General features: G+C 47.8%; 2 protein-coding genes and 1 pseudogene across 14 annotated transcripts in view; all 3 read left to right on the forward strand.

Moving 5' to 3' along the window:
• Positions 1-3,827, forward strand: part of ZNF138 (zinc finger protein 138) — a 66,396-nt gene extending 62,569 nt beyond the window's left edge. For both annotated transcript variants that reach the window (NR_160269.1, NR_160268.1), the window contains one exon: positions 1,211-3,827. The gene's annotated coding sequence lies outside the window, so the exon portion shown is untranslated. The remainder of the gene's footprint in view (positions 1-1,210) is intronic.
• Positions 5,955-7,454, forward strand: EEF1DP4 (eukaryotic translation elongation factor 1 delta pseudogene 4; annotated as a pseudogene).
• ZNF273 (zinc finger protein 273) overlaps positions 20,607-21,844 on the forward strand; it is a 59,714-nt gene continuing 58,476 nt past the window's right edge. For 7 of the 12 annotated variants that reach the window (XM_047419803.1, XM_047419809.1, XM_047419812.1 and 4 more), the window contains exon 1: positions 20,607-20,840. The gene's annotated coding sequence lies outside the window, so the exon portion shown is untranslated. Of the gene's footprint in view, positions 20,879-21,844 lie in introns of all 12 variants that reach the window. The other 5 variants (NR_169738.1, XM_047419800.1, XM_047419813.1 and 2 more) reach the window with 2 other exon arrangements.

Consider the following 21,844-nt stretch of genomic DNA (forward strand, 5'->3'; position numbering starts at 1 on the left):
CAGCTGCCCCGTCTGGGAGGGAGGTGGGGGGGGGTCAGCCCCCCCGCCCGGCCAGCTGCCCCGTCCGGGAGGTGAGGGGCGCCTCTGCCCGGCCGCCCCTACTGGGAAGTGAGGAGCCCCTCTGCCCAGCCACCACCCCGTCTGGGAGGTGTGCCCAACAGCTCATTGAGAACGGGCCATGATGACAATGGCGGTTTTGTGGAATAGAAAAGGGGGAAAGGTGGGGAAAAGATTGAGAAATCGGATGGTTGCTGTGTCTGTGTAGAAAGAAGTAGACATGGGAGACTTTTCATTTTGTTCTGCACTAAGAAAAATTCTTCTGCCTTGGGATCCTGTTGATCTGTGACCTTACCCCCAACCCTGTGCTCTCTGAAACATGTGCTGTGTCCACTCAGGGTTAAATGGATTAAGGGCGGTGCAAGATGTGCTTTGTTAAACAGATGCTTGAAGGCACCATGCTCGTTAAGAGTCATCACCAATCCCTAATCTCAAGTAATCAGGGACACAAACACTGCGGAAGGCCGCAGGGTCCTCTGCCTAGGAAAACCAGAGACCTTTGTTCACTTGTTTATCTGCTGACCTTCCCTCCACTATTGTCCCATGACCCTGCCAAATCCCCCTCTGTGAGAAACAACCAAGAATTATCAATAAAAAAATAAATTTAAAAAAAAAAAAAAAAAAAAAAAGAATTTTATTTTATCAGTAAATTTAGAGAAGAATTAAAAAAAAACAGTGCTTTGGGCAAAATAACAGTGGCACATCAGTACCACCCAAACAAGTGCTTTTCATCATCATCGTTAAAGTCGCAATAGCACCACATGCTTTCCTGGGACCAGGTGGCCTGTTTCCCACTGATATAAAGTGGAGACAGCATTGAAATAGCAAAGGAGGGTGATATAAATTGGATACCTATATAAAATACAAATTTTAATAAAAAGCGTTTGATATTGTAGAACTATAGATGAGACTATTAGTATGAGATCATAATATTTTTACTTCTTTTGACAGAACAACTTCACAATATTCTTATTTCAAAAAATATTCCTTTTTCTGTGCATATTGCCTAGCTTTTGGTCAAATATTACCCGAGCTCCATAGAAATCAATGAAATGAATCTATATTTTGCCACAAGCATTTTATTTCTGATGAATATGCTTGTTTTGCTTAAAATACATTAGCTTTTCATGAAAAATCTACACTTTTCTTTCAGGGTTTTATTTATTGCTGAGAAGTGTCCTGCCAGAAAACTGCTATTCTCAGCTCTACTTACATTGACTAATAGTGAGTGGAAGTGATGTGTGGATAAAAAGCAAATGTGTCTTTTCTACATCTCTTTGTTAATTTATTCACAGAAGAAAGAGGAGGATGCAGATAGAAGATGAAAGAAGACATGATTACTAAAAAATCATGGGGAAGTCTTTTTATCAAGGAAAAAACCATAAGGGATAATGTGAGAAGAAAATATATTATTTTGCTAAGCCTCTGAAATGTCAGTATACAATCTGCATTGCTTTAACAAATATATTATTCCTTCAGTTTTGAGTCTTCAGGATATGATTCAGTTCCCCAGTGAATCAAAACTACAAGGAGAATAACATTTGTTAAGGTAATAGATGTAGGGAAGACCCATTATGTTTGGCCAAAATCTTTTTCACCCCCTGTCGCAGGCAATCATTATTCTACTCTCTGCTTCTATTAGTTTGAATTTTCTTTTACACTCTGCATAGAAATGAGATCTTTTTAAAAATTTTTTTCAATGCTGGCTTATTTTACTTAGCATAATGTCCTTCAGGTTCAATAAGCTTTTTGCAAATAACAAGGCTTTCTTCTTTTTAAGGGCTGAATAGCATTCCATTGTGTAAATATACCACATTTTCTTTATTCATTCAACTGTTGATGAACATTTAGGTTGATTCCATATCTTGGCTATTGTGGCTTTCTTCTTTCTCTTTCATTTTTTTATATCTTCTTTTTTATTTCTAGTGCAGTGATGTGATCTCAGTTCACTGCCACCTCCACCTCCTGGGTTCAAATGATTCTTCTGTCTCAGCCTCCCAAGTAGCCTGGATTACAGGCACACACCACCACACCTGGCTAATTTTTGTATTTTTAGTAGAGATGGTGTTTCACCATGTTGGCCAGGCTGGTCTTGAATTCCTGACCTTGTGAACCACCCACCTCAGCCTCCCAAAGTGCTGGGATTACAGGCATGAGCCACGACGCCTGGACAACTTTGTCATTTTTAGTGATACTCAGATATGTTCCATTGCAGAAAATTGTATTTTATTAGTTATTATTGTGTTTTTTGGACTCATCTACATGGGATGAGTCCTAAGAGATTCAGTTTAAAAAAGTTTTTTTAGGTACATTAAGGACATTATTTATCTTTTGTAACCTGTTCATGTCTATGTCTGTTACTTGCATCAGGCAGTGACTCAAACAATTCTCAAAAAACAGAAAGTATATTTCTCTTAAAGTTGGCTTATTAAGGGACTATGAGGTGATCCAATTCAATAAGAACCAAACTAGACCTACTAAGATTAGTCAGGACTATCAGAGAATTTTTCAAATACATTCACCATTAATCCAGAGATAATTGTGAATCCCAACTTTTACCCTAAGAAAAATTATTGCAATGTAGTAAAGTTGATTCTGTCTTTAAAAAGAAAGAGGAGCACAATGAGATTTCCTGTGGCCAGTTGAAGTTCATGAAGTTTGTCAAAGAATTTCACATACATAGTAAATCTTCTGATAGCATTTAGTTCCAATCACAATAAATTATACTTGTCTCTGTCTTCTATAATTAATCTCTTCTCTCTTTAAAAAACTCTGTATTTTCTGTATAAAAATAGTGATTATTGGCTGTGCACGGTGGCTCACGCCTGTAATCCCAGCACTTTGGCAGGCCAAGGTGGGTGGATTACGAGGTCAAGAGTTTGAGACCAGCCTGACCAACATGGTGAAACCCCATCTCTACTAAAAATACAAAAATTAGCCAGGCATGGTGGCACGCACCTATGATCCCAGCTACTCAGGAAGCTGAGACAGGGGAATTGCTTGAACTCGGGAGGCGGAGGTTGCAGTGAGCCAAAATCATTCCACTGCACTTCAGCCTGGTGACAGAGCAAGACTCTGTCTCAATATAATATAATTATACAATTATAACATCCTAAGTATGTATTTGTTGGGTACACTGTCATATTTTTATGTTTATGCTGTAAAATGTTTAAATCAAGCTAAGTAACAAATTCAGCACCTCACATACTTATTATACTTTTGTGGCAAAAACATTTAAAATATTTTTATACCAATTTTGAAATATACACTGCATTATTATTTATTATAGTCAATATTCTGTGCAATTAATCACTAAATCTTATTTCTCCTAAGTGAAACGTGGTACACTTCCATCAACATTTTTTCTTTCTTCAACCACTTCTTCCCCAGCCTCTGTTACGTTTTTACTTACACTAAGTTACATTAGGGCCATTAATGTAATTAAAGAAATTAAATCTTTTGGTATGCAATAATGATATGAACATAAATAATGTTAAATAACTTTATTAGAAAGTTTGACTAATTAGGCATATAAATAAATGGGCAGCACTTTTGGCTAGTAAACTAAAAATACCCATTATTTTCAAACACCAGACAATTATTTTAAATGGAAAGGTTTTGGGCCTAATATATGTCACTGAATTTATGAAAGCACAAACCCAGGAGGGTAGTATTTTCTGAGCATTGTAAGTAACAATGAAAATTATTGACTAAAGTGAATTCAAGTAATATGTAGCCAAATAAAAATCTCATTAAAAAATTTAAAAGTACTGGATGCAGCAGCTCATGCTTGTAATTCCTGCACTGTGGGAGGCCAATGCAGAAAAATTACTTGAGCCCAGAAGTTTAGACGGTGCCTCAAAAATAAAAATTTTAAATTAAGTTCTTAATCAAATGGAAGATTTAAGCTGAGATCATTTTTATTGATTCAGAACAGTGCTGGCTGGGTGCAGTGGGTCATGCCTATAATCCCAGCACTTTGGGAGGCCGAGGTGGGTGGATCACCTGAGGTAAGGAGTTCCAGACCAGCCTGACCAACATAGAGAAATCCCATCTCTACTAAAAATACAAAATTAGCAGGGCGTGGTGGCGCATGCCTGTAATCTCAGCTACTCGGGAGGCAGAGGCAGGAGAATCGCTTGAACTTGGGAGGCAGGGGTTGTGGTGAGCTGAGATCACATCATTGCTCTCCAGCCTGGGCAACAAGAGCGAAACTCTGTCTCAAAAAAAAAGAAGAGGAAGAAGAAACAAAAGAAATGTGCTAATGGAGAAGCATGGTGATCAAAGCCAAAAACTTGAATTTAGATCAGTAATTTTGCCATTGTCTTACTGATACAGAAAAACAGTATTCTGGCCATATGTAGGTATTAGTCTCTACAGTTAAGTACATTTACTTCAGATATTTGTAAAAATATAAAATCGATTTTTTAGTATTAAAAATTAAGGTATACTGGCCAGGCGTGCTGGCTCTGCCTGTAATCCCAGCACTTTGCGAGGCGAGGCGGGAGGATCATGAGGTCAGGAGATCAAGACCATCCTGGCTAACATGGTGAAACCCCATCTCTACTAAAAAAAAAAAAAAAAAAAAATTAGCCGGGTGTGGTGGCGGGCGCCTGTAGTCCCAGCTACTTGGGAAACTGAGGCAGGAGAATGGCGTGAACCCGGGAGCCAGAGCTTGCAGTGAGCCGAGATCGCTCCACTGCACTCCAGCCTGGGTGACAGAGTGAGACTCCATCTCAAAAAAAAAAAAATTTTTTTTGGTATATTGAGGAAAGAATATGTTCTAACTGATGTAACTTGAGATTTCTCATAAGATGTTATTGTCTGCCACACAAGAAAATTGTAAAATATTTTCCTCAGGTATATGCTGTTGATATTTGTGCATTTTGGAAAGATATTATATATTTGGAAATCTTTAAATATAAAAATAATTTACATGCTAAAATTCTGAGAAAGTTACAAGAACCTTTAAAATCCTGAGTAGAATATAAAGAAACATATGAGAACTTTCCAGGTACAAAAGAAAGCCAAAGGAAGAATCCAGAATGTAATTAAACTAAGAAGCAATTGTTCTTCTTAGATATGGGTGAACACACAAATAAAAAATTTCTGTGGGTTGTCCAACTTGCCATTAGACAAATGAAAAAATAACAACATAAGGGAGGAGGGATAGCATTAGGAGAAATACCTAATGTAAATGACGAGTTAATGGGTGCAGCACGCCAACATGGCACATGTATACATATGTAACAAATCGGCACATTGTGCACATGTACCCTAGAACTTTTAAAAATCACCCTAAAAAAAAATAAAAATCCTTTTCTACAAAAATAAAAATAAAAGTAACAACATAAACTAACTGCAGACATTGCAAACGTAATATCTTTCACAAGCGAGAAACAAATTACAACTTATATTACCCACAGTTACAGGACTTAGGTTTAAAATGTTTAATCCAACACAATGGGGAAAACAGAAAATATACCAATAATGTGAAAAGTACAAGAAGCTACAAGGGTGACAAGTCATATTTGTTTGTTTTTTGTGCATGTGGGGGTTTTTTTGTTTTGTTTTGTTTTTTTGTTTTTTGAGACAGAGTTTCACTCTTGTCGCCCAGGCTGGAGTGCAATGGCATGACCTTGGCTCACCACAACCTCTGCCTCCTGGGTTCAAGTGATTCTCCTGACTCAGCCTCCCAAGTAGCTGGGAATACAGGCACCCACCACCATGCCCAGCTAATTTTGTATTTTTAGTAGAGACGGGGTTTCTCCATGTTGGTCAGGCTGGTCTCCAACTCCCGACCTCGGGTGATCCACCCGCCTCGGCCTCCCAAAGTGCTAGGATTACAGGTGTGAGCCACCACACCCAGCAACAAGCCATATTTGAAAAACAGCCAGCCTTTCCTCAGGCGTCCCGCATCTGCTGATTCCTCCTTCCTGGTCACTGCGTCCTTGGCTGGCATCAGAAAAGTGGCTACAAACTTCCTAGTACATGAGAAGATCTGGTTCAACAAGTTAAAATGTGACAATGCAGAAAGGAGATTCTTCAAGCAGATGAACAAGGCTGTGGCCAGCACCTCCCGCCAGGAGAACGGCGCCAGCATGATCCTCCATGACATTGCGAGAGCCAGAGAGCATTTCCAGAAATCCCTGGCCAGAAGCTCAGGCCCCGGGGCCTCCAGCAGCCCCAGCGGAGACAAGGCTGAGCTCATCTTTCAGATCACCAGTCTGGAAGTGGAGAACCAGAGCCTGCGCAGGGTTGTGCAGGAGCTGCAGCAGGCCATCTCCAAGCTGGAGGCCCCACTGAACGTGCTGGAGAAGAGCTTGCCTGGCCACCACAGCCCTGCAGACCCAGCACGAGTCTCCTATGTGCCAAGTGGAGCCCCTGGCCAAGAAGCCAGCCAAACCAGCAGAGGATGACAAGGACGATGACATTGACCTACAGGGGATAGGCCCCCAAATCTGGCCATAAATTGGCCCCAAAACTGGCCATAAACAAAATCTCTGCACTACTGTGACATGTTAGTGATGGGCATGACAGCCATGCTGACAGTTGTGGGTTTACCGGAATGAGGACAAGAAACACCTGGCCCACCCAGGGTGGGAAATCCACTTAAAGGTGTTCCTGAACTACAAACAATAACATGAGCGACCTGTGCCTTAAGGACATGTTCCTGCTGCAGATAACTAGCCAGAGCCCATCCCTTTGTTTCAGCCCATCGCTTTGTTTCCTGTTTTAGTTAATCTATGATCTATAGAAACAATGCTTATCACTGGCTTGCTGTCAATAAATATGTGGGCAAAACTCTGTTTGAGGTTCACAGCTCTGAAGGCTGTGAGTCCCCTGATTTCCCACTCCACACACTATATTTCTGTGTGTGTGTCTTTAATTCCTCTAGCGCCACTGGGTTAGGGTCTCCCCAACCAAGCTGGTCTTGGCATTGACCTGTTTGGCAGTGACAATGAGGAGGAGGACAGGAGGCAGTACTGCTGCGGGAGGAGCGGCTGCGGCAGTACACAGAGAAAAAGGCCAAGAAGCCCATGCTGGTGGCCGAGTCGTCCATCCTGCTGGACATTAAGCCTTGGGATGATGAGACTAACATGGCCCAGCTGGAGGCCTGTATGTGCTCCATCCAGCTGGACAGGCTGGTCTGGGGGGGCCTCTAAGCTGGTGCCCGTGGGCTATAGTATCCAGAAGCTGCTGGTTCAGTGTGTAGTGGAGGATGACAAGGTGGGGACAGACTTGCTGGAGGAGGAGATCATCAAGTTTGAAGAACACGTGCAGAATGTTGACATTGCAGCTTTCAACAAGATCTGAAGACTGAGTGTGAGTGTGTGTGTGTGTGTGCACGCGTGCATGTGCTTGAGGCCCCGCCATGATTAAAAACTGAGACCGGCAAAAAAAAAAAAAAAAAGAAAAGAAAAGAAAAAACAGCCAAATGTGAAGTAAACAATTGAAAATATAATCAGTCTACTTAATATACAACATATGTGTGAAACATTAAATTAGTCTGAAATGATGAGAAGATTAGTGAACTAGAACACTAAGCAGTAATTAATTACTGTAAAGACAAAAGGAGAAAAGTTATATTAACAAAATCTAAAATATACATGTATGACAGGGAGCATGAGATGGAGTAAAACAAGTCTGATTATTTTTATAGAATATATTTTCAAAATCAAAGTCAGTATTCAGAGTTGGTGACTCATAAGTTTCTAAAATTGAAAAGCAGACATAATTACTTCTCAGCCTTTTGGCTAAAATCAAGTGAAAACCAGATATAAGTGCTTGAATTCAAATGTGCAGTGTTCCAAAAAGAGAAAAATAACAAAATTAATTCCTTAAAATAAAAAAATAAATTACTTAAAACGGGCTGCATAACACCAAGGAGAAGAAAAACACTACAAATCTGTGAGAAGAATAAAGATAATTTACAAAAATGAAAGTAAAGTTTTCAAACCTTGCACAGAGCCAAAAATCAGAGAAATAAATGTTAAAGGAGCTGAGAGAAATTATCATTAAAGTTAGAAATGCATACTTACACTGCAATATTTTTAACACAAATGGGTAAATTAAAATACTTTCCAAAAAACCCACTGGTTTGGTTTTCAATAGGATTCTCTTAAAAGCATACCTAATAAAAATATTGTTTTATTATTATACTTTAAGTTCTAGCGTACATGTGCACAATGTGCAGGTTTGTTACATCTGCATACATGTACCATGTTGGTGTGCTGCACCCATTAACTCGTCATTTACGTTAGGTATATCTCCTAATGCTATCCCTCCCCCCTGCCCCCAACCCAAAAATATTTTTTGTATCTAAAGTTGAAGAAGAAAATGAAAAAGTACAAAAATTGATTTGGAAGCTGGCATGTTCTTTCTCAGGATTTTAGGTAACCGGCAATCTTTCACTCTCATACAACACTCTAGAGTTTAAAAAATATTTTTCTACCTATCTTTTCTCTGATCTTTACATCCTGTGAGGCTCTGCAAAATAGGGGCTTGTGTCCCATTTTGCAATTTAAAAAGCCGAGGCTCAGACAAATGTCACACAGAAAGTTTGGGACAGAACTGGGACTAGAACCCATGACTTGCAAAGTAGTGCTCTTCTCATCCCTAAAGCAGTCATAGGGCTAGGAATACATTAAGACAACAAAAGATAGAGCACTGCTTAATACATTCAACCAAGGTGAGACCTGACGCACCCCAAAATGCTAAGCAGCTCCAGGGCCCTGTGGCAGAGATTTCAAAGTGGAGGGTGATGCTTACATCTGCATATCTGAGCTCCAATACAAACGCTGCCACTCAGCTATAGAACCACACTTTCTGAGCCTCAGCCTTCTCTCCTATAAAATGGCACTACAAAAGGCACCAAAAAGCTCAAGATGAGGGCAAAACAGCATCCTGAATGCAGGAGTGCCTGGAGAGAGTAAAGTACTCATTGACTTTTGATTTAAGCACATGGATAATATACTGTGTTTCATTGTGTCTTCTCCATGGTGTCTGGTTAATGACTGTAGATCCTGGGGTCCTCTGGTCAATCCTAATGCTATGCGATAGAGGCATGAATGGATATAGATGGGTGGATGGACAGGTATGTGGATGCATGGACATGTGCTCAGAAGAGCAGAAAGAAGAAAACAGGGAGTCAAAATGAGAATGAAAAGATGATTGAAGGATCAGGATTGATGGAATACGGCACAGTCTCCAGTCCTCTTGCCCTCACCAAGCCCTACCACCACCTGCCTTGGGTAACAGTGGCATATGCTGTATATGACATCCCTGGTCACCATGACGCTGCTGCAGAAGGTGCTGTAGATCTGAGGCTAATCATAGCTCATTAGGAATGTGCCAAGGGCCAGCAGAAAAATAACCCAACACAATGAAGCTGATGTGGACTGTCTTCTCATCTGCCATGGCTGCCTGGCCAGGCCCTAGACTATCCACCCCTGGCAGAGGGAATGCATGTCCATCCAGCAAAAATACCCAGACAGGGTCACAGGGAAAGATGAAGCTCTAAGTTTGCTGCAAATTGAGGCTTAAAGGTAAAGGAAGAGCAAGAACACTTTAGGTCTGGACCCAGTCCCTAGATGCACAAGTTCATCATGGTTGGAGGCAGAATGGTTAAGTGAACAAGTGCACCCACCCACCCACCCACCTTCACTCCTCACCCTCTTGTTTTCCCATTGGGTCAAGCAGGACTAGAATGCATGTATGAATCTGAGTGAGGGAGCATGCAGGGGAAGGAGAAGGGAAGGCTTTGAAATCACACTACAGTGAAGCAGAACTAGGTAAATGTACTGCCCTACACCTTCCAACCCTGCAAAGAAGCATAAAATTCTGCAGCTGGAAGAGGTTAGCATGAAGCTGACAGATTCCAGGATCCCACAGTCTGGCATTTCAAAGTCCAGAATTTTAAACTCTTCAAGGATATGCGACCATCCAGGGTTCAGACATAATAGATGATATTATTACTAGATGGTGACTGTGTACATGGCACTGTTCTTTTTTTTTTTTTTCTAGAGATGGAGTTTCACTCTTGTTACCCAAGCTGGAGTGCAATGGTGTGACCTTGGCTCACTGCAACCTCCACCTCCCAGGTTCAAGCAATTCTCCTGTCTCAGCCTCCTGAGTAGCTGGGATTACAGGTGCATGCCACCACACTTGGCTAATTTTTGTATTTTCAGTAGAGACGGGGTTTCGCCATGTTGGTCAGGATGGTCTCGAACTCCGGACCTCAGGTGATCCACCCGCCTTGGCCTCACAAATTGTGGAGATTACAGGCATGAGCCACAGCGCCCAGCCCATGGCAATGTTCTAAACATGTTGCATCTATTAACTTATTTAAGAGACCCCCCTGAGGCAGGTGCTACTGTCCTTACTTTATAGAGGAAACTGAGCACAGAGAAGTAACTTGCCTACAGTCACAGAAATGGAAATAGCAGAGAAGCTGAGATGTGAACACAGAGTCTGTGTATCTAGCCACAGTGCAAACCTGCTTAACTGCAGCATGAGGTTATGAGTCCAGGCTCTGATGATGAGGCAGGTTACCTGGGTTTGGATCTTGGCTCTTCCACTGTGGGGCAACATGGTCTTGATCAAGTTCTCTTCCTTTGTTTCAGTTTCCTCCTCTGTAAGATGGACATAATAATAGTATCTCCTAGGATTGGAGCTGTCTTCAGGCTTAGACTTTCTGGGTTTCTCTGTTTTCTTCACACTCTGTGCACCATCCAGACCTACTTTAATGAGCTTCTACCCATCCCCCTCCAGGGCTCTGGTGAACTAATATTTTCAGGGTATAAATGACTGATAACAACTTCCTCAATTTCTGTGGGGGCCTAATCCAGGAAGATGCCATCATCAGATGCCTGAGCCTGCCTCCCGAATGGGCATGCGCCAGTCTCAGGGCACCAGTGAGCCACGGCTCGCATCACAGTGAACACCACCTTTGCCTGGCGACTAGTCCCTGTGGCTTGGCAGAAAAGGAGTCCTCTGTGGAGGTGCGTCAGCGATGGACTCTAGTCTGTCTTCTCTGTGGGATCCACGGGATAGTCCCATGACCCTAGGAGAGGGCAGCGGCGAACCAGCCTGAAGAAACCTCAAGCGGAGCCCCAGGGATACACCGCAAAATCCCTAAGGATGGGGTCCCGCACCTTCACCTGCAAAAAAAGGTGCAGACTGATGACACAGAAGGTGCTTCCAACTCCATCCTTACATTCGCTTCATTACACAATCTGTCCACACCATGGCCCGGTGCCCAGGTGGGAGGACTCCAAAGTGCGGGGAACAGTTGGAAACAGTCGGAGTGCAAACTGCAGCCTTTCCGGCCAGCTCCTGATTTGGGGTTTCATTCCCAGAGCCCCTTGAATCCACCTCCAATTCAGTTCCCAGCCGAGTAGGTGCTTCACGTCGTGAGGCGGGCACTCTTCCATCTTCTGGGGATTTCATTCTGGGACGGAGAGTGTGAGCAGCAGTAAGGTCAGATGGGGGTGAGGATACAGTCTGGTGAAATGTGGTTTGGGTCCCGCATCTTCACCTGCAAAAATGGTGCAGAGAGATGACACAAGAGGTGCTTCCAACTCCACCCCCGCATTCCCTTCATTGCACAAGCTGTCCACGCCATGACCCGGCGCCCAGGTGGGAGGACTCCAACGTGCGGGGAACAGTTGGAGCTCAAACCCCGGCCATTCTGGCCAACTCACGATTTGGGCTTTCATTCCCGGGGCCACATGAAAGTGGGATAGATTGATGCTGGGTGAGATGTGGCCTCCACACTGACATCCTCTTATCCTGACTTCCATGTTCCTCATGGGCCTAGGGTTTCCTGGGTCTGGCTCAAAGTCGTCCACAGTAAACGTTTCCCAGTTCACGGAGGACGACCCTCATGGGGATCCATTGCATGAGTGTTTCCTTCTAAACACTGTCATGTTTTAATGACTGGGCAGCTGTGATATTTTGGAGCCATAAATTCCCGTTATATCCACCAACAAGGAAACTGTTGTTCTCCCACTTCTATTGGAGGGCTGCATGACTCCTGTAGGATGAGAAGTAGGCAGCCATGTCTGGCTTTTGACTGGTAATCTAGGCCCTGTTTCATTTCATCTGCACGTCCTTTCTAATTGTGAAGAAGGTCTCTCATTGGGCTGTTGCTGGGTGGGACAGCCTCTGTATACGGTATTTGGCTGCCACGGATTTCAGGAAGCAACAGGGACTTGGAGTAGGCTGGCTGCACTCTAGGTTGTGAATAGTGGCCTCCTTGTGGGCGCTGGGATTGTTTGCACTTTGAGGAGGCTCTCGGGTTTTCTGGCAGGAATCCTTGAACGGGAGGCTTGGGCTCCAGCACAAGCCCTCTTGTCCTCCCAGGCTAGCCTTGATTTTCCTTAGCTTTCATGGGGGGGGGTCCACAATGCCCCTCAACAGCACTCCTGGACACCCTTTTCAGGATTGCAATCGCCCCATATGGCCTCTGAGACACTCTCTCAACCTCATCTGCCCCCATGGGATGCCAGTTACAGGTGTGAGACCTCTGCTCCACTTTGGACTTGCCTTTGTCGTGGTTCCTGCCTTTTCCAGATAGCAGTGCTGAGAAGCAGAAGCCCCTTGGAGGCCCAGGATGAAGGGAGTCAGTGAGCTCAAGGGCCTGGCATTCTTCTGCTGACACCCTCCTCTGGGATCTCAGGTATGATTCCATCACCCGGATACCCCTCAACATCTCACCAGACTGTATACCCATCCTTCTGGGACCTGATTCCTGCACACAGCCTCTTTGGGGAAAGGAGTCAGAAGAACAGTTTCCAGCGCCCAACTTACAGTCTCGAAACGCCTCCTCCTCCAGCGGGATGAACCACGGAGACGCCCCAAAGAGGCTGTACTGTCGAGACTTCTAGGGTCCCACAGTGGGTTGTCGCAGGCAGCCTTTTTCTTTAGATCAGACCGGCTATGCCCGTACTATTTTCCCCTGCTTAGGCAGGCTGACATCCCTGACAGCTGGGCGCCCGAGCCGGCCTCGCGAATGCACATACGCCAGTTGCGGGGCACCAGGCACGAGTGGTGAGCTGCGGCTGTCGTCACAGTGAACGCCACCGTTGCCTGGCCACGGGTCCCTGCGGCTTGGCAAACCAGTAGACTTCTGTGGACGTGCATCGCCGCTGGACTCTCACCCGTCTTCTCTGAGAGATCCACGGGATAGTCCCCTGATCCTAGAATTGGGCAGGGCCGACCCAGGGTGAAGAAACCTCAAGCGGACTCCCAGGGCTGCAGATCGAAATCCCTAAGGATCCCAGGGGACCCGCAGGATGTGTCAGGCATGCCTAGGCGGTGTGGGGGTGAGTCTATTTGATAGTTGCCCCCCGGTGATTTCTAGGTAAACCCTGCCTGTGTTTCCCGGGGCTGCTCTCTCCCCGGAGGGACTTCCTGGTGGAGCAGAACCGGGTTGCCTCAGAATGTGCTGGGTTGTGTATTTCTGTGGGAGTGTTGCAAGTGTTTGATGTCTGTGTGTGTATGTCTGTGTGTGTGTTTCTGTGTGTGCCTGGAAGTGGGGTTGGTTAAAGGATCTGGCTTGCGCACTGGAGCGCTTGTTCTTTCGAGTCGGTCAATCTTCTTGTGCGCCTCTCTGTGTGCCTCCGCTTTGGCTGTGGGGCTTCGTGTTTCTTCTTTTCCCCGTGGTTCCTGAAACCGTGGTGAAGTGGGGAGCTGACTGAGACCCGCAGGGGTACAAATCACTTTTCCCTGCAAAGGAGCCACTCTTCTAGAAATAAGAGAAGCATACCACACCTGAGAAAAGACACTTCCCAGGTACTCATTGTCCTGAGGCCAACCCTGGGCCAGACCATAGGAGTCCTGTTTGCAGGGCTCCTTGAATCCAATCGAATTCGGTTCCCAGTAGAGAAAGAGCTTCAGGTCTTAAGGCGGGCGCTCCTCCATCGTCTTGATATTTCATTTCGGGTGGGAGAGTGTGAGCCTCAATAATACGGGTGAGGATATAGTCTGGTGAGGTATGGATGGGGTCCTGAACCTTCACCTTCAGAAGAGAAGCAGACAGATGGCATAGGAGCTGTTTCCAACTCCATCTCCACATTCTCTTCATTGCACAACCTGTCCACAACATAGCCCGGTTCGGAATAAGGAGGACCCCAAAGTGCCAGGAACCGCTGGAGCCCAAACTGTGGCCTTTCTGGCCAGCTCCTCCCTTGGACCTTCACTCCCGGAGCCACATAGCAGTAGGGTGAACGACTGATGCTACCTGGGCTTTTGATTCCACTCTGGCCTTCTCTTTTCCTGACTTCCATGCTCCTCATGGGCCTACAGTTTCCTGGGTCTGGCTCAAAGTCTTCCACAGTAAATATTTCCCACTTCACAGAGGACGACCCTTATGGGGATGCATTGCATGAATATTTCCTTCTAAACACTGTCAGGTTTTAAGGACTGAGCAGCTGTGATAGTTTTGGAACCGTGGATTCCCGTTATATCTGCCAACAAGGAAACTTCTGCTCTCCCTATTCCATTGGAGGGCTGCATGATTCCTATAGGATGAGAAGTAGCCAGCCATGTCTGGCATTTACTTGGTAATGGAGGCTCTGTTTTATTTCATCTGCATGTCCTTTTACATTGTGGACAGGGTCTTTCAATGGGCTGTTGCTGGGTGGGCCTTCCTCTTCTCAGGGATCTTCTTGGCAGCCATGGTTTTCAGGGATCAAAAGGGACTGCAGTTCCGCTGGCTGCAGGCCAGGTTGTGGGTAGTGATCTAGTTGTGGGGGCTGGGTTGGTTTGCACTTTGCAGGAGGCTCTTGGTTCCACAGGCAGCAATCTCTCAACGTGGGTTGGACTCCAGCATGGGCCCTCCGGTGCTCCCAGGTGAGCCTTGATTTTCATTTGCTTTCATGGACGGTCCACAGTGCCCCTCATCAGCACTCCTGGATACACTTATCAGGCTTGCAATCGCCCCCAGACGGCTTCTGAGACACTCTCTCAACCTCATTTACCCCCGTGGGGTGCCAGTTCCAGGCCTGAGACCTCTGCTCCACCTTGGACTTGCCTTGGATGTGGTTCCTGCCCTTTCCAGACAGCCGTGCAGAGAGGCAGGGGTCCCTGGGAGGCCCAGGATGAAGGGAGGCAGTGAGCTTAAGGGCCTGGCAATTTTCTGCTGACACCCTCCTCTGGCGTTTTAGCTAAAATTTCATCTTTCAGAGACCTCTCAACCACTCACCAGACTGCATCCCCAGCCCCATGGGACCCAACTCCTGCACACAGCCTCTTTCGGGAATTGAATCAGAAGAGCAGTTTCCAGCGCCCACCTCACAGTCTCAAAGCGCCTCCTACTCCAGCAGGGTCGACCACCGAGACGCCCCAAAGAGGCTGTACGGTCAAGACTTTAAGGGTCCCTCGGTGTTTGTCATAGGCAGCCTTTTCCCCGAGACCAGGCCGGCTCTGCTTGTACCATTTTCCTCTGCTTAGGCAGGCTGACAGCCCTGACAGCCAGGTGCCCCAGCCTACCTCGCGAATGCCCATGCTCCAGTCGCAGGACACCTGGCGGAAGCGGGGAGCCCTGGCTCGCATCACAGTGAAGGCCACCTTTGCCTGGTGACGAGTCCCTGCGGCTTGGCGGAGCAGGAGACCTCTGTGAACATGCGTCGGTGTTGGACTCACACCTGTCTTCACTGGGGAATCCACCGGATAGTCCCGCGTTCCTAGAAGTGGTCAGTGCCGACCCAGCCTGAAGAAACGTCAAGCGGAGCCCCGGGGATGCAGCACGAAATCACTAAGGATTTCAAAGGATGCACAGGTTGCTTCAGGCCTGCCTAGACGGTGTGGGGGTGAGTCTCTTTGAAAGTTTCCCTTCTGTGATTTCTAGGTACAGCCTGCCTGTGTTCCCCGGGGCTGCTCTCTCCCGGGAGGGTCTTTTTGGTGGAACAGAACCGCGCAGCCTCAGCAGCTGCTGGACTGTGTGTTTCTTTGGGACTGTTGCGAGTGTTGGATGTCTGCGTGTGAGTGTGTGTGTGTGTTTCTGAGTGTGTGTGTAATTGGGGTCTGGTGAAAGGATGCTTCTCACCCACTGGTGCGCTTGTTTGAGTGGGCTGACCTTCTGGTACGCCTCTCTTTGTGGCTCCGCTTGGGTGGCGGGGCTGCGTGTTTTTCGTTTTCCTCGTGGTTCCTGAAACCACGGTGAAGTGGGGGGCTGGCTGACACCCACAGGAGTTCAAATCAAATTTTCCTCAAAGGAACTTCTCTTCTAGAAATCAGAGGAGCAAACCACTCACAAGAACAGACACCTCCCAGGACATCCTTTTCCTGAGGCCAACACTAGGCCAAATCAAAGGAGTCCTGTCCGCAGGGCCCCTTGAATCCACTTTGAATTCTGTTCCCAGCAGAGAAGGAGCTTCAAGGTGGTGAGGCACGCACTCCTCCATCGTCTTGGGATTTCATTCTGGGTCGGAGAGTGTGAGCAGCAATAAGGACGGACACAGGTGAGGATACAATCTGGTGTATCTGACTGGATGAGATCCCGAACTTTCACCTTCAGGAGAAATGCAGACAGATGTTATAGAAGGTGCTTCCAGCTCCATCCCCGCATTCCCTTCATTGTAGAAGCTGTCCACATCATCTCCTGCTTCAGAAAAAGGAGGACTCCAACGTGCAGTGAACTGTTGGAGCACAAACTGTGGCCTTTCTGGCCGGCTCCCCCCTTGGACTTTCATTCCTGGAGCCACATGGCAGTGGGATGGATGATTGATGTTGCCTGGGCATTGGCTTCACCTCTGGCCTTCTCTTTTCCTGACTTCATGCTCCTCATGGGCCGAGGGTTTCCTAGGTCTTGCTCAAGGTCTTCCACAGTAAATGTTTCCCAGTTCACAGAGGACAACCCTCATGGGGGTCCATTGCATGAGTGTTTTCTTCCAAACACTGTCACATTTTAATGACTGGGCAGCTGTGATACTTTTGGAAACATGGATTCCCGTTATTTCCTCTAACAAGGAAACTTGTTCTCTCTATTCCATTGGAGTTCTGCATGATTCCTATAGGATGAGAAGTAGCCAGCCATTTCTGGATTTTGCCTGGTAATCTAGGCTGTGTTTCATTTCACCTGCACGTCCTTTTTCATTGAGAAAAGGGTCTTTCATTGGGCCGTGGCTGAGTGGGACTTCCTGTCGCCACGGATCTTCTTGGCTGCCAGGATTTCAGTGATCAAAAAAGACTGCTTTTCGGCTGGCTGCAGGCCAGGTTGTGGGTAGTGATCTCATTGTGGGGGCTGAGGTGGTTTGCACTTGGCAGGAGGCTCTTTGGTCCGCTGGCAGCAATCCTTCAACGTGGCTTGGATTCCAGCACAGGACGATTGTGCTCCCAGGTGAGACTTGATTTTTCTTTGCTTTCATGGGGGATCCACAGCGCCCCTCAACAGCACTCCAGGACACCCTTTTCAGGCTTGCAGTAATCCCCAGACGGCCTCTAAACCTCATCTGCCCCCATGGTTTTCCAGTTTCAGGTGTGAGACCTCTGCTCCACCTTGGACTTGCCTTTGACATGGTTCCTGCCTTTCTCAGAGAGCCATGCTGAGAAGCAGGAGCCACTGAGAGGCCCAGGATGTAGGGAGACAGTGACCTCAAGGGCCTGGCAGTTTCCCACTGACACCCCCCTCAGGCATTTTACCTAGGACTACATCACCCAGAGACCCCTCAATAACTAACCAGACTGTATCCCCAGCCCCACGGGACCCGATTCCAGCACAATGCCTCTTTCAGGAATGGAATCAGAAGAGCAGTTTCCAGCGCCCACCTCACAGTCTGGAAGTGCCTCTTCCTCCAGTGGGACCGACCATGGAGACAGCCCGAGGAGGCCCTATGGTCAAGACTTTTAGTGTCCCTCAGTGGTTGTTGCAGGCAGCCTTTTTCCCGAGACCAGGCTGGCTCTGCCTGCACCATTTTCCTCTGCTTAGGCAGGTTGACAGCCCTGACAGCCAGGTGCCCCAGCCTGCCTCGCGAATGCGCATGAGCCTGTCGCGGGGCACCAGACGAGAGCGGTGAGACGTCTCCCGCGTCACAGTGAACGCCATGGTTGCCTGGCGACGGGTACCTGAGGCTTGGCGGAACAGGAGACCTCTGTGGAGGTGAGTCACCATTGGACTGTAGCCTGTCTTCTCTGAGGGATCCATGGGATAGACCCGCGATCCTAGATGTGGGCATGGCCGATCCAGCCTGAAGAAACGTCAAGCGGAGCCCCAGGGATACAGCCCGAAATTCCTGAGGATCCCAAAGGATCCGCAGGATGCTTCAGGCCTGCCTAGACGGTGTGGGGGTGAGTCTCCTTGAAATTTGCCCCACTGTGATTTCTAGGTACAGCCTGCCTGTGTTCCCCAGGGCTGCTGTCTCCCCGGAGGGGCTTTCTGGCAGAGCAGAACCGTGCGGCCTCAGAAGTTGCTGAACTGTGTGTTTCTGTGGGAGTGTTGCGAGTGTTAGATGTCTGCGTGTGTGTTTCTGTGTGTGCGTGTAAGTGGCACCTGCTGAAAGGATGTAGCTCACGCACTGGAACGCTTGTTCTTTCGAGTCGGTCGACCTTTTGTGCGCCTCTGTGTGGCGCCGCTTGGGCTGTGAGGCTGCCTGTTTTTTGTTTTCTCCGCGGTTCCTAAAACCGCGGTGAAGAGCGGGGCTGGGTGAGTGAGATACGCAGGAATCCAAATCACCTTTCCCTGCAACGGAGCCACTCTTCTAGAAAATAAGAGGAGCACACCACACTCAAGAACAGACACCTCCCAGGGCCTCATTTATCTGAGGCCAAACCTGGGCCAAAGCATAGGAGTCCTGTCCGCAGGGCCCCTTGAGTCCACTTCGAATTCGATTACCAAAAGAGAAGGAGCTTCAGGTCATGAGGCCGGCACTCCACCATTGTCTTGGGATTTCATTCCGGGTCAGAGAGTGTGAGCAGCAATAAAGTCGGATATGGCTGAGGATAAAATCTGGTGAGGCAGGGCTGACCTGATGAGGTGTGGATAGGGTCCGGAAACTTCCCCTTCAGGAGAGGTGCAGACAGATGTCACAGAAGGTGCTTCCAACTCCATCCTCGCGTTCCCTTCATTGCACAAGCTTTGCACACCATAGCCCGCTTCAGAGGAAGGAGGAAGCCAACATTCGGGAAACCATTGCAGCACAAACTGTGGCCTTTCTGGCCCACTCTCCCTTTGGACTTACATTCCTGGAGCCACATGGCAGTGGGATGGATGATTGATGCTGCGTGGGCTTTAGCTTCCACTCTGGCCTTAATCTTTTCCTGACTTCCATGCTTCTCGTGGGCCTGGGGTTTCCATGATCTGGCTCAAAGTCTTCCACAGTAAACGTTTCCCAGTTCACGGAGGATGACCGTCATGGATATCCATTGCATGAATGTTTCCTTCTAAACACTGTCACGTTTTAAGGACTGCGCAGCTGTGATACTTTTGGAACCATGGATTCCCGTTATTTCCACCACCAACAACAAAAAACGCTTGTTCTCCCTATTCCATCGGAGGGCTGCACGATTCCTATAGGATGAGAAGTAGCCAGCCATGTCTGGCTTTTGCCCGGTAATCGAGGTTGTGTTTCATTTCATCTGAACATCCTTTGTCATTGTGGAGAGGGTCTTTCATTTCACTGGGTGGTGCTTCCTCTTGCCACGGATCTTCCTGGCTTCCAGAGATTTCAGGGATGAAAAGGGACTGCAGTTTGGCTGGCTGCAGGCCCGGTTGTGGGTAGTGATTTAGTTGTGAGGACTGAGGTGGTTTGCATTTTGCAGGAGGCTCTTCGATCCACTGGCAGGAATCCCTCAGTGTGGGTTGGACCCCAGCACGGGTTCTCTCGTACTCCCAGGCAAGCCTTGATTTTTCTTTGCTTTCATGAGGGTCCACAGTGCTTCTCAGCAGCACTCCTGGACACCTTTTCCAGGCTTGCAATCGCCCCCAGACAGCTTCTGAGACACTCTCTCAACCTCATCTGCCCCCGTGGGATGCCAGTTCCAGGCGTGAGACCTCTGCTCCACCTTGGACTTGCCTTTGACATGGTTCTGCCTTTCCCAGAGAGCCGTGCTGAGAAACAGGAGCCCCTAGGAGGCCCACGATGAAGGGAGGCAGTGAGCTCAAGGGTCCTGCAATCTTCCACTGACACCATCCTCTGTAGTTTTAACTAGGATTCTATCTCCCAGAGACCCCTCAACAACTCACAAGACTGTATTCCCAGCCCCATGGGACCCAACTCCTGCACACAGCCTCTTTTGGCAACGGAATCAGAAGAGGAGTTTCCAGTACCCACCTCACAGTCTCTAATCGCCTCCTCCTCCAGCGGGACACGACCACGGAGATGGCCAGAAGAGGCCCTATGGTCGAGACTTTTAGGGTCCCTCAGTGTTTGTCGCATGCAGCCTTTATTCCGAGATCAGGCCGGCTCTGCCTGCTCCGTTTTCCTCTGCTTAGACAGGCTGACAGCCCTGACAACCTGTCGCCCGAGTGCGCCTCGCGAATGCGCATGCGCCAGTAGCGGGGCTCCAGGCGCGAGCCCTGAGCTGCGTCTCGCCTCACAGTGAACGCCACTGTTGCCTGGCGACGGGTCCCTGCGTCATGGCGGAGAAGGGGACCTCTGTGGACGTGCATCGCCGTTGGACTCTCGCCTGTCTTCTCTGAAGGATCCATGGGATAGTCCCGCGATCCTAGAAGTGTGCTGGGGCGACCCAGCCTGAAGAAACCTCAAGCGGAGCCCAAGGGATACAGCGCAAAATTCCTAAGGATCCGCAGGATGCTTCAGGCCTGCCTAGACGGTGTGGGTGTGAGTCTCCTTGAAACTTGCCCCCCTGTGATTTCTAGGTACAGCCTGCTTGTGTTCTCCGGGGCTGTTCTCTCCCCGGAGGGGCTTTCTAGTAGAGCAGAACCTCCCAACCTCAGAAGTTGCTGGGCTGTGTGTTTCTGTGGGAGTGTTGCGAGTGTTGGATGTCTGCGTGTGTGTGTGTGTGTCGGTGTGGGTGTGTGTGTGTTTCTGTGGGTGCGTTTAAGCGGCGTCTGCTGAAAGGATGTGGCTCACGTGGCTCACGCACTGGAACGCTTGTTCTTTTGAGTCGGCTGACCTTTGGTGCGCCTCTCTGTGTGGTTCCGCTTGGGCTGCGGGGCGGCGTGTTTGTTTTTCCCGTGTTTCCTGAAACTGTGGTGAAGTGGGGGGACTGGCTGAGACACCAGGGGTTCAAATCACCTTTCCCTGCAATGGAGCCACTCTTCTAGAAATAAGAGGAGCACACTACACCCAAGAAGGAACACCTCCCAAGGCCCCATTGTCCTAAGGACAACCCTGGGCCAAAGCATAGGAGTCCTGTCCGCAGGGCCTATTGAATTCACTTCGAAATCCGTTGCCAGCAGAGCAGGAGCTTCAGGTGGGGAGGCGAGCACTCCTCCATCGTCTTGGTATTTCATTCTGGTCGGAGAGGTCCGATACGGGTGAGAATACAATCTGGTGAGGTGTGGTTGGGATCCCGAACCTTCCCCTTCAGGAGAGGTGCAGACAAATGTCACAGAAGGTGCTTCCAACTCTAGTCCTGCATTCCCTTCATTGCAGAAGCTTTGCACACCGTAGCCGGATTCCAAGCAAGGAGGAATCCAACATTTGGGGAACCACTGGAGCCCAAACTGTGGCCTCTCTGGCCGGCTCTTCCTTTGGACTTTCATTCCCGGAGCCACATGGCAGTGGGATGGATGACTGATGTTTCCTGAACTTTAACTTCCACTCTGGACTTCCCTTTTCCTGACTTCTATGCTTCTCCTGGGCCTAGGGTTTCCATGGTC

This window comes from Homo sapiens, chromosome 7 (assembly GCF_000001405.40).
Source record: "Homo sapiens chromosome 7, GRCh38.p14 Primary Assembly".
NCBI lineage: Eukaryota > Metazoa > Chordata > Mammalia > Primates > Hominidae > Homo > Homo sapiens.